This window comes from Homo sapiens, chromosome 7, assembly GCF_000001405.40.
Source record: "Homo sapiens chromosome 7, GRCh38.p14 Primary Assembly".
Taxonomy (NCBI): Eukaryota; Metazoa; Chordata; class Mammalia; order Primates; family Hominidae; genus Homo; species Homo sapiens.
Genome location: NC_000007.14, coordinates 143,700,805 through 143,712,885, shown reverse-complemented (window position 1 = coordinate 143,712,885; position 12,081 = coordinate 143,700,805). Strand labels below are relative to the sequence as shown.

The 12,081-nt window shown below is 41.7% G+C and overlaps 1 protein-coding gene across 11 annotated transcripts in view; it reads right to left on the bottom strand.

The window, feature by feature from the left end:
• Positions 1 to 12,081, bottom strand: part of TCAF2 (TRPM8 channel associated factor 2) — a 109,437-nt gene that overhangs the window by 17,525 nt on the left and 79,831 nt on the right. For 5 of the 11 annotated variants that reach the window (NM_001438663.2, NM_001438662.2, NM_001365429.2 and 2 more), the window contains one exon: positions 9,269 to 9,905. The exons of 3 other annotated variants lie outside the window; for them this stretch is intronic. In NM_001438663.2, the coding sequence (NP_001425592.2) occupies positions 9,269 to 9,891 (623 nt within the window). In that variant the 5' untranslated portion in view covers positions 9,892 to 9,905. Of the gene's footprint in view, positions 1 to 5,172; positions 5,537 to 9,268; positions 9,906 to 12,081 lie in introns of those variants that run through there. 3 more of the 11 variants (NM_001363538.2, NM_001438665.1, XM_047420218.1) reach the window with 3 other exon arrangements.

Here is a 12,081-nt window from a genome sequence, read left to right as displayed (position 1 = left end):
AACTACATTCATGGATCTTGAATATAAACCTCATAAACCTTCCACACAATTATCTCTGTCTCTGAGTCAGATTCCCAGGAACCCAAGCTGAAACAAGTGGAATTTAGCAGCGCCTAGCAAAATTACGTATGAATTTCCTCCGTGACTCAGAAATCCCATTTCCAGTGATATGGCAAAATATAATGATACATACACAAAGGTATGTGGTGCTTGTAACTTGGAACTCCTTGGACAAAGACTTTCCTACTCTACAGGACTGTGTTGAGGACAGAGAAAATAAATAATTCTCAAGACAGTCATAAACCTAAGCCACTAGTACATATTTACAATTTTTACTTACCAAATAGTGACAGGTTCTCACTATGTTGCTCAGGCTGGAGTGCAATGCGTATTTGCAGGTGCAATTATAGCACACTGCAGCCTTGGATTCCCAGCCTCAAGAGAGCCTCCTACCTCAGCCTCTCGAGTATGTGAGTACCTGTGCATCAGCATGCCAAGTTACATATTTACTTTTATATGGGCAGCTGCTAACATATTTTAGAGCTTGTAGATTATACCGTGTGTAAGTGTAATGGGTGGCTGCTTAGTATCTGAGGTTAACTTTTCTTCCAGACTCTTCTGTCATGGTATAAAGGTAGCAAGTGCCTTTGGATTTGCTTTTAAATATTAAAGCAACTGCAGTATACTCCTGTTATATAAACATAGGTGTGCCCTTGGGGATAGGATGTGAGAGGAGCTTTTGTTGGTGTTTAGAGACTGCCCCACTCCTTGGCAGGCAGAGTTGGGGCAGGCCAGCAATCAATTCTCTTAAGAAGCTCCAGGGCCTTCCAGCCGAGATTTAAAGTTAAGGAACCTGCTGGGTCAGTCCAAGCGCCTTTGACCAATATTTGTGGCAGGAATGTTCACTGAAAACCTCTAATGGGACTTGCTCTGAAGGCGGGAGGAATCTGAGCCAGAGACTCAGACTCTGACCTTCTGAGACTCTCAAGGAGTTGGTTCCCTCTGGCTCTATTGTTGGCTGAGGCTGGAAGGCTCTGGCGCAACCCCCAGCCCTATATTCCATAGTAGGAAGTTGTCTGCAGGATTAACAGTAGTATATGAGGCTGTCTTTTCTCTTGTTATGGTTTTGGATGTGTGTTCATTCATATTTTTTCATTAATTTATATAGTTTACAAATATTTGTTGATCTCTAATGTTAAGTACTCCAGGCACTGAGAATAAAGCAGTAAACGCAACAGGCAAGATCATGGAGCTCTATATTCTGGTTGGTTAGACAGGCCCTAGCAAGAAACAGCGGAGATAGTTATAGAGAGTGATAATGTTTAAGGAATAAATGGAGAAATGTGATGAAGTGAAACTGGATGGACAGTCCAAATTTCAGTATGGCCACTGGGGAAGACTGCTCTGAGGAGGGTGTTTGAGTTGAAACTAATTAAGAAGAATAAATTGGATTTTCAAGAGCTGAAAGAAAGTCCAGAATAGGAACAAATATCTTGATATTTTATAAAACAAGAAATCTAATGTTACATGTTGTGGTCTTTACATTGAGGGACAGTTCTAAAATACTTTAAAGATGTGTATGGATAATATATGTTATCGCCAACCCCCCGATACTCAACTAGAAAATATCTGAGTATGCAACAAAGAGGAAATAGTTAAAACAAATTACAGAACTTATGATTAAAAATTATCATTAAAAATATCATATATAAAAATGGGAAAATATTTTTAAGGAGAATACAAAATAGCAGCATGTAATCATAGCTAGCAAAAATGATGTATTGATTTGTAAAGATATGCAAAGATAGAAGATATGTAAGCATAAACATTTTGGTTGAGGACATTACAGAAATTACAAATATTCAAATACTTTAGTGTCATTGTTTTCTCAATAAATGTTTTAATTAATCAAAACTAACAATGTGGGAATTTATTTTTATACAGTATTAGCTGAACTTTCACTACGCTTCTCTTAGTCCTAAAATATGGACTTAAACGCTGTGGGAATTCCAGTGCCTAGAATAGTGTCTAGAACAGGCACTCACATATTTTAGATAAATTAAAACATGGATACAAGATACTAGAAAGAGGGAAAAAAACTGATATGTTAAGAAAATTTGTTCCTTTCTCCTTTTTGTTGGTGAATCAATGAAAACTATAAATGATATCAGGTCAAAGAAAGATATCTTAATGTGATCTGGGGAGAGGTTTTTTATTTTTTAAGGGTTCTGAAAAGGCAAAGAGGTAATATTAAAAATGTCTTTTTTGTCAATTTATAATTATAGAGTATTCGGAAAGGACAAAAATATTTGAAGATGAAACCAATTACCAACTTAGCCCCAGAGACACATTACTAATATTTTATTATATTTTCTTCTAATGTTTTATTTTCCTGGCTATACATATATTGTTTTAATGAATTTAGCATCATTTTAATGCAGAGCTTTATATCTTAATTTTGTCTATTTTATCATGAATATTTTTCATTTCCTTTAAGAAGTCTTTGAACATAGAATTTTTAATGATTGCAAAATTACTCACTCAATCACTCTAGGATATGCTATACCTTATTTAAGCAATCTTCTATTACAGACACGTTTCTTCCAGTGTTCCACTTAACAGTGAAAATATTGCTAAAAAATATTTGCCTCATAGCCCGGCTTCTCCCTGTCTCCAGTGCTTCTTCCTTCACCTTTCCACAGATGCTGATCCTGGGAGCATGCCCTCACAAACCTCCCACACATGTATCTCTATCTCTGAGTCAGATTCCCAGTAACCCAAGCTGCAACAAGGGGGACTTAGCAGTGCCTAGCGAAATTACATATGAATTTCCCCCATGACTCAGAAATCCCATTTCCAGTGATAGCGTGAAATATAAGGATACGTGCACAAAGGTATTCATTGCAGCACATGTGTAACAGTAGAAGTACCAGAAAAATAACACATACTGGAAACTCAAGTGCCTGTCAATAAGGGACTTATTGAATAAACAATATCATATCCATACACCATGGTATAATAGAGTATACAGTGTATCTCTATATATTACTATCAGGCCATATCCAGGAAATAATGTTAAGTGAAAAAAAGTAAGGAGGAAAAAATGTATAGAGTATGTTATTGCCTTATCCAGTGAAGAGAAGACTACTAATATGTGTGTGTTTGTGGAGAATTAAACCACAAAAAATGCACAGAAGGAAGAAGGGAATTGTTTGAAGGAAACAGGGACAGAATATAGGTTTCTTAAGATCTTACTTTGGACCCAGATTACTATTTTACATAATTTTAAACAAAATTAAATTACACAAGCAATTCCAAAACTAAAAAATAAAATAACCAATGAATTGACATGTACATCTGTTTAGCGGTATAACCACAAAGAGCGGAAGTATTGGAAGTGACTTTAAAGATAGTATTTTGACTTTATATATGTATATAATAAAATATATCATTGGGACAAAAAGAACTGCAAGTAATCTTTGTTACAATAATCATCATATTGCTGGTAGTAGTGCTATTATTCATATTTTGCAACTGTTGTTTGTATATCTTGGGATAGAGCAAATGAGTCGTTACATTGGTGTCTTATAGAACCGGAATTTTTCATCATGAGAGATAGGAGATACAGAGGTAAGATTGTTGAAATCAAATTAAAACCCTGTAGCCCCAAATCTGATCCGAAGTATCAAAATATAAACCAAAAATATCTATTTCTTAGCTGTGCCTATTTAGAAGGCCTAGAAACAAAGATCAAACAATGCACAACTCTAACACCCGGACTGGAGTTTCTAAATGCAAATTAGGACTCCCAGAAATATGGGCTGTACGTTAAAAAAAGAAGGAAGAAAAAAATAGGGCTTTTTGGAGAAATGGCAGTTCTGGGCCTGAGCAGGAAATACATGAGATGAAATTGAAACCTCCTGTTATATTAAAAAACCAGGAAGCCCATTAAGGTTGGGTGGAAAAGATTCAGGAATCATCTTGAATTGGCTCCCAATGGCCAAACAGGACAATTTCAACATCAATAAGGATAATAAATGAAACACATTGTGTTTCCAATCATGATTTCATAATAATTCTAAGAAAAATTTAAACACATTGGTGACCTCTGGAAGATGCTAGGGAAACAACTCAATATTGGAAACTGGTTTTAAAATGAGAAAGAGAGAATTAAATATTTATTTTGCCTTTTCTATATAAATTATACCATAGAGTATGTAATTGGTGAAGGAAAGTGTGTTTTATAAAACTATTCCAAATAACAAATAAAAGGAATATTAAAATTTTAAAGCCATCATTTTATAAACACAAATTAATGGGTCTAGGGCTAAGCAACGGTTATTAAGGACTGCCAACCTCACAGTAAGAGAGAAAATCAGACCATTGTGCTCTACCCAGTAGAAGTGCATACTACCACCTATAAAATAGGTCAAAAATTCAAACATGAATCTGATCAAACCTCTAGATCAGGAGCTGAGAAAGTTTTCCTTAAAAGGTCTGACAAATATTTTAGACAAATATGGGCCATATGGTCTCTGCTGAAACTATTCAACAATGGCAGACACTGTAGCTTGAAAGCAGCCACAGTTTGTGAATGAATGGGCACGGCTGTGCTCCAACAAAACTTCATTCACAAAAACAGGGGCTGTCCTCAGTTTGTCAATCCTGACCTAAAATCGAGATCTAACTTTTAATTTGTATTATACAGAAAATACAAGCAAAAGATGAATATGTTAAATCAGTGGTCCCTAACCTTTTGGTACCAGGGACCTGTTTATAGAAGACAATTTTTCCATGGACCTGGCAGGGGTTTCAGGATAATTCAAGTGCATTACATTTATGGCACACTTTATTTCTATTATTAGTACATTGTAACATATAATGAACTAATTATACAACCCACCATAATGTAGAATCAGTGGGAGCCCTGAGCTTGCTTTCCTGCAACTAGATAGCCCCACCTGAAGGTGATGGGAGACAGTGACAGATCATCAGGCATTAGATTCTCATAAGGAGCACACTACCTAGACCCTTTGCATGAGCAGTTTGCAATAGGGTTCGTGCCCCTATGAGACTCTAATGCTGCCACTGATCTAACAGGAGGCGGAGCTTAGGTGGTAACGCAAGTGATGGGGAGTGGCTGTAAATACAGATGAAGCTTTATTTGCTCACCCGCTGCTCACATCCTGCTGTGTGTTCTGGTTCCTAACAGGCCATGGACTGGTACCCCCATATTAAATGATACCACAGGAAGGCAATCAATTTGCCTTTCCAGGTTTTCACCATTGCGCTTCACTGTGCCTGGAATCCTCCTCCCACAGATGCACACATGGCTCATTCCCTGACTTCCTTGAGGTCTACTTTCAAAGTCCAGACTGAAGTAAACTGTTCAACAAAGAGTAGCTGGTGTCTTCAACAACAGCAACAAAACTGCAAGAAATAGAAAGTTGGAAAGGAAACGCGTATCTTAAAAGAGATATAAAATTTGTATCAAGAAATCAAAATATTTGGGTTTTATTTAAATTTCAATGTTAACACTTTTTTTTTTTTTTTTTTGAGACAGAGTCTCAGTCTGTTGCCCAGGTTGGTGTGCAATGGCGTGGTCTCGGCTCACTGCAACCTCCACCTCCCGGGTTCATGTGATTCTCCTACCTCAGCCTCCCAAAAAGCTAGGACTGCTGGTGCGTACCACCACACCCGGCCAATTTTTTTATTTTTAGTAGAGTGTTGCCACGTTGGCCAGTCTGGTCTCAAACTCCTGACCTCAAGTGATCCACCTGCCTTGGCCTCCCAAAAAGGACTGGGATTACAGGCATGACCCACCATGCCTGGCCCAATGTTAACACATTTTGAAAAATAAGACAATCATGGAAATAAATGATGACACTAAGGAATTATTCTTTTAGGTGTGATAATGATGACTTGCAGTTATGTTTTTAAAAGACTTCATACCTTTAGAGATATATATTTAAATACTTACAGATGAAAAGACATGATGTCTGCTGTTTGCTTCAAAATAATCTTGGGTGGGGAAGAGTGGGGCTACAGGTGAAATAGGACAGACCTGGAGTTGACTATTTTGGGGACTGGGGAATGGCTACATGGGGGTTCATTGTACTATTCTGTCTACTTTTGCATATGTTTAATATTTTCAGTAATTAAGAATTAAAATAACAAACACACAAAATATACCTTAGAATCGGTGGCAGGGATTAAAAATGTAGATATAGATGAAGAAAAACAGGTTGAGTTAGCTAGAGAGGAGAATCCCTTGGGGCAATTAAGAGGCATTATAGTGATGAGATTTCACCTGCTTGTCCCTTCGCATTAGAATAAAAAAGTTGAAGCGAATCAGATCCACTCCAATGTCTCTGAGTAAACCCATCCCCTCCCCAAATCTCTCAGAAGGGAAGGAATTCAAAGAGGTCCAGAGCTTGGGGCTGAGGGTTCAGGGCACTGCCAGCTGCTCACTAGTATCTGTATGCCCCTTCTTCTTTGTACAGCATCTTGATTTCTTCAGAGACGCCAGTGCCCATTTAAAAATAGCCAGCCCTTCAGATCTCCTGGTAGTTAGGTCTGGAAGTCAGGCCTCCCACTGATTCTACATTATGGTGGGTTGTATAATTATTTCATTATATATTAAAATGTACTAATGATAGAAATAAAGCGCATAATAAATGTAATGCACTTGAATTATCTTGAAACTCCTGCCAGGTCCATGGAAAAATTGTCTTCTACAAAACAGGTCCTGGTACCAAAAGGCTAGGGACTACTGATTTAACTAGGCTGGCCGTTAAAATATAAATAGAAGTCTAGGGCTTCCAGGAAATACATGGTTTTATAAACTAAAAGTAGGTGTATCCATTCCAATTTATTATTGCATGGGTGTAATTATGGTGCCTGGAGTAGTAGTGGCAAACTTGTAGCCATAAGGATAAAATAACACACCATGACAGGGTCAGGCAGTGACAGGGAGACAGAGACTGACCATGGGACATCATAGAGTCACTGCCCCAGAGCTGGACTACCTACCTGTACTTCATGTTTCATAGAAAAAATAAACTGCTACATGGTTAATCTGCTATACTAAGGCTTCTGCTACATGTGGCCAAACATAAGTAAGTAGTCACTAATATCTGAAACCTAAAACATCCAAAATGAGACTCCTGATCTCCTCTAATCCATCTTCTCATTGTCCTTTCACAGATCACTAAACAGCAGCACCTGTGTTTAATTTTTGGTCTTTTTCAGACCAAAAATCTCAACTCCTCTTTTTCCTTACTCACTCCATCAGCCAAGCCTGTTGGGTTCTCCCTTTGAGGTGTGTCCAGAATGGAACCTGTTCTCAGTAGCTCCACAGCTTCTATCAGTCTTGTCTGGGCCACCACCATCTCTCCTGTGGTCTACTTCAGTGGCCTCCCGATTGGTCTGCTGCTTCAATCTTTGCCTCCCACAGTCTGTTCTCCACCATCAATCAGAGGGTTCCTTTTGAAATTTAAGTCACATCATAGCAATCTTCTGTAGAGAATACAAAATGTCTTCCCATCTCACTGCAAATAAGGTCTAAAGTTCTACTCCTGGCCTGTCAGTTCTTACATGACCTGAGCTATCATTCACTGAGTTCCCATCATTCTGGCTTCCCTGATTGCCAGGTGTGTCCCTGGCCAATGGATGAAATGAGTACTCAGACACAAGTATGCAGTGTAAGAACAGCTAGGTGACTGCCTGGCTGTAGTGGCCAGAGAGCAGCCCCGAGAAGCTGAAGCTGCTTGCTTTTATTTACTGCAGGCATAATGCCGAAAGCCTGGAGCCTACACAATCTGTAAATGACTAACATTTATTGTTCCTCATTCAGAGAACATCATGTGTGCGGATGTTCAAATGTCAGCTCCTGGACAACTTCAAACAAACAGGCTTGATCAAGACAAATTCTCCTACACTCCCTTGTACCTACTCCTTGCCCTCTGCCTCAGGGTCACAGAACAGCTGCCTTCAGCTATTCTCCCCTGGAGCTTTGCAGAGCCTTCCGACCTTATAGAAGGGCCACTCCCTTTCCCTTGGAACATACTAAGCAGGCTTCCCTTCCAGGTTTTCTCACCCTCACTCCTCACTCTGCCTGGAATCTTCCTCTCACAGATGCCCACATGGCTCATTCCCTCACTTCCTTGAGGTCTCCTTTCAAGTGCTACCTACCAGACCAGCCTTCCAAGCCGGCCATGAGCTTGTTTGCACTCATCTCTATTCCCCTTTCATCTTGGTCATCCTCCGTGTTGCAGAAAACTGCATTTCTTTGGTTCTCCTGTTCCCTGGATCCTGGTGGGTTCAGCCCATGGGAGAGAGAGGTAGAAGACTGAAATCAGGAAGGAAGAAGGAAGGAGTTTAAGTGTTTGCTTCTCTCTTCAGGCTGTATTTCTGGTAACCACAGTGTCTTCTCTGAGACTCCAGCTTCTAGCAGACAGACCTTTCATCTGTGGTTCCAGCTCCTGCTGGGAAGGCATAGCATGGCTCCAGCTTCTACCAGGTGGCCGCAGCACCTGGACTTCAGTAATACCACCATCTCCCTCTGCTGGTTCTGCTGTTGCTGATCTCTGGGTTACTTGCTGTCCCCTGTGTGTATTTTCAGCTCCTCTATCATGGGTATAGTCAATTCCCCATACTAAATCCCTTCTGCTAGCAACGCCAACAAATCCTGACCAATCCAACTTGGTCTGACTGATAGGACTTCCCTGAACGTCTTAAATAAAATAGCCTCCATCAGCCTTCCTGTTGTCATGCTATCCACTTATATTATCATCTTTCATGGATCTTAGCAATACCTGATAGAGCACATATATATTAGTTTCCTTAATACCTATCTCTCCCCTGGAATACAAACCTCATGATGGCATGACTTGCCTGCCTCGATCTCTGCTAGACCCCCATTGTCCAGAATGCAGCATGATCAACAATCGGTGCTCACGCAAACAAACAAATATTCTTTCATGCATTTAAGAGGTACTGATGAGCACTCTCTAGGTTCTATTTACTAGACATGGAGATAAAGTGGTAAGACAAGCTTTTCTATTCAGCTTTGGCCACAGGAGGGAGTGGCAGTGAGGGCCCAGCCTCTCTTGTGTCTTGGTGCATTTTAATCATCCTGCTTTTGATTTGTGGTGGTTCCAAACTGAGTGGAAAATCACCTGTATTGCAATGGAAGCTTGTTGAAGAGGGGAACCAACTCTATTGTTTATCCTGAGTCAGACTCCCTAAGAGGGGAACAAACACTCACCTGACATGGAGTGGGATCTTGGGCACCTTCTTAGAGACCTTGAACCGGTCTCTGTCCCCATAGGTGTCAGTGAAGTACACTCCAGCTACACTTGTCACCTTGTTCCCAGGGAACCTGGAGAGCACCTTGTCAGGGCCGTGCTGGCTGGCCCAGTACCAGGCCTGGCCCCCGATTAACAAGCCCCCTCCATGTTTCACAAACTGGATCAGCGTTGCAGTCAAGGTGTCATTGTAGGCATTGATACAGTAAACCCCTAGGGGCTCTCCTGGTTCTGGCTTGACCTGTGCCTCAAGCCCAGCATCCTGTAGGATGTTTACTAGAGGTGCCAGGGATGGATGCACTCCCACGGGAGCCCCAGGACAGGGACAGAGCCAGCTCACTGCATTGAGGAGAAATGGAGCCAAGCCAGTATGCGACAGGTAGCCCTCATGGGACACAACCACGAGGCGGCCTCGGCCGTAGGAGGAGGCAGCAATGAGCACCTGGCCCTTGTCATTCACCATCACGGGGAAGGCGGCTTCTCCAATAAGAAGGAGTTCACTGGGGATGGGGCCTCTGGGGACATCCCAGCATGTCACTCCATCCATGAGGGCCTCAAACGCAGCAGCAGCAATGGTCGCCATGGTTCTATCAGCTGCTGCAGGGGGAAGCAAAGACTTTCATGTATTTAAGAGATACTGATAAGCACTGCTGGTCAGAACAGATGAAGGAACAGGTGAAAAAAGCAAACAACTAAATGCATTCACCTCCAAATTTTACTGGATTCCCCATTGTGGGCCAAGCACTGTTCTAGCACTGGGAGTACAGCAAGAAACAAAACAGATAAGGTTTCCCTTTTCGTGATTTGAATATTTTAGAAGGAGAAAGATAATGAATAAATAGGTAGATAAACAGATAAATAAAATGCAACAATCACTATGATGAAAATAAAACACAATGATGTGACATGGAGGAACTGGAAGACTACTTTAGATTGGGTGATAGGAAAGGACTCTGACAAAGTGGCATTGAAGCTGAAACCTGAAATGCAGTGAGCAAAGGGCATTCCAGCAACGAGACCACTTTGGGGTGGCTGAGAGCCAGGAGCAGGGAGGAGCAGGACCCCAGGAGGAGGGAGGGACGGGCTAGATCCTGCAGGGCCAGTAAATCAAGGTGATAGTTAAGTTCGTGTGCCTGAGTGGACACAGTGCTTGATTTTTTTGAACAGAAAGGTCATAGACCTGTCAAAACATGCCTTTCTTCTGACAGCTTTGCTAAGTTGGAAAGTGCCCCCTAATTTATCAAATCTGCCCTAATGGAGAGGACCCTCCTCTATTTGGTAGCATTATGCAGTTTCCGGAGGTCTTTTAAAATTGGCTGTGCCTAACACTGAGACTATTTGTCCCTTTAAGCAGCCCCTCTTGGATAAATGACTTCAGTCTCAGTTTCCCCATCTACAAAAAGAGAATAATACAGCCATGGGAAGATTGTTTTTGAAGATTAAAGGAATATGGATAGGCCAGGCGCAGTGGCTTATGTCTGTAATCCCAGCACTTTAGGAGGCCGAGGCCGGTGGATCACCTGAGCTCAGGAGTTTGAGACCAGCCTGGCCAACATGGCGAAACCTGTCTCTACTAAATCTACAAAAAATAGCTGGGCATGGTGGCGTGCACCTGTAATCCCAGCCACTTGGGGAGGCTGAGTCATGAGAATTTCTTGAACCCTGACGGTGGGGGGCGGAGGTTGCAGTGAGCCGATATCGCACCAGTGGACTCTAGCCTGTGCGAGAGAACAAGACTCTGCCTCAAAAAATAAAATAAAATAAAATAAAATAAAATAAAATAAAATAAAATAAAATAAAATAAAATAAAATAAAGTAAAATAAAATAAAGCAAAGAATATGTCTAAAAATGCCTTGTCTGGGGTTGGTACACATACAGTGAGCACGGAATAAACGAGAGTGTCTGTCCCTTTGCTGTCCTTTTAAGTTTCCCGGGTTGCCGAGGGCAGCGTTGCAGATTGCAGTAGTGCAGTAGTCCCCTGGCTGCCTGTGCCGCCTCCCTTTGCGCGTCTCTGACGAGCCCACTGTAAGGGACTTTCCTCTGTGCTCTGATGGCTTCTCACCTCTGCAGGTGCACAAGGCAGCCCTGAAGTAGCGGTGAGTTGACACTAGGGTGAGCTTCGCCCAGTAGAGCGGGGATTCACAGAAGAGTGCCCCGTGGCTTTCCCGAGGTGCCCATCAGAGGTCCTCGGAAGGCACCCGGAGGAAAGGAGCGCCATGTGGAAGACCCTCAGCCACATGCTCCTCCTGGCTTTCCCTTTTTTCCTTGTCTCATTCTCTCCACTTCCTCATTTGGGCTTTTTGGTCTCACTTACCCCCAAAAAATTACCTGCAGGTAAGCCCTTGCATAAGGCTTTGCTTTAGGGCAGAATCTAAACTAAAACACACACCAAGCCCTTGAGCCACAAGTGCCTCCTTCCTCTCTCCCTCCTGCTTCTATATGCAGTCAACCACCTCATTTGGTTAATCTCTCACCATCTCTCTCAAACATCAGTCCCTTTAGTTGGCAATCATTCCAGACTAAACCAATATGGTTTTAGTCCCCAGGATGTATTCTCATCCACAATCGTCCTCTACAAGAACTCTAACAAGAACCGTTACATTTCGTCCACTCTCTCTAAGGTGAAACTTGCAGAGCGCCTCAGCCTGGCTTCTCCAGGGTCTGGCATGCCAGTGATTACTGGACGTTTTTCCTGCTACTTTCTTCCACTAAATCTCTCCAAGCTCGGAAAGGTTGGCATTCTGAGCATGCCCTGCATTTCCTGTAGAATTC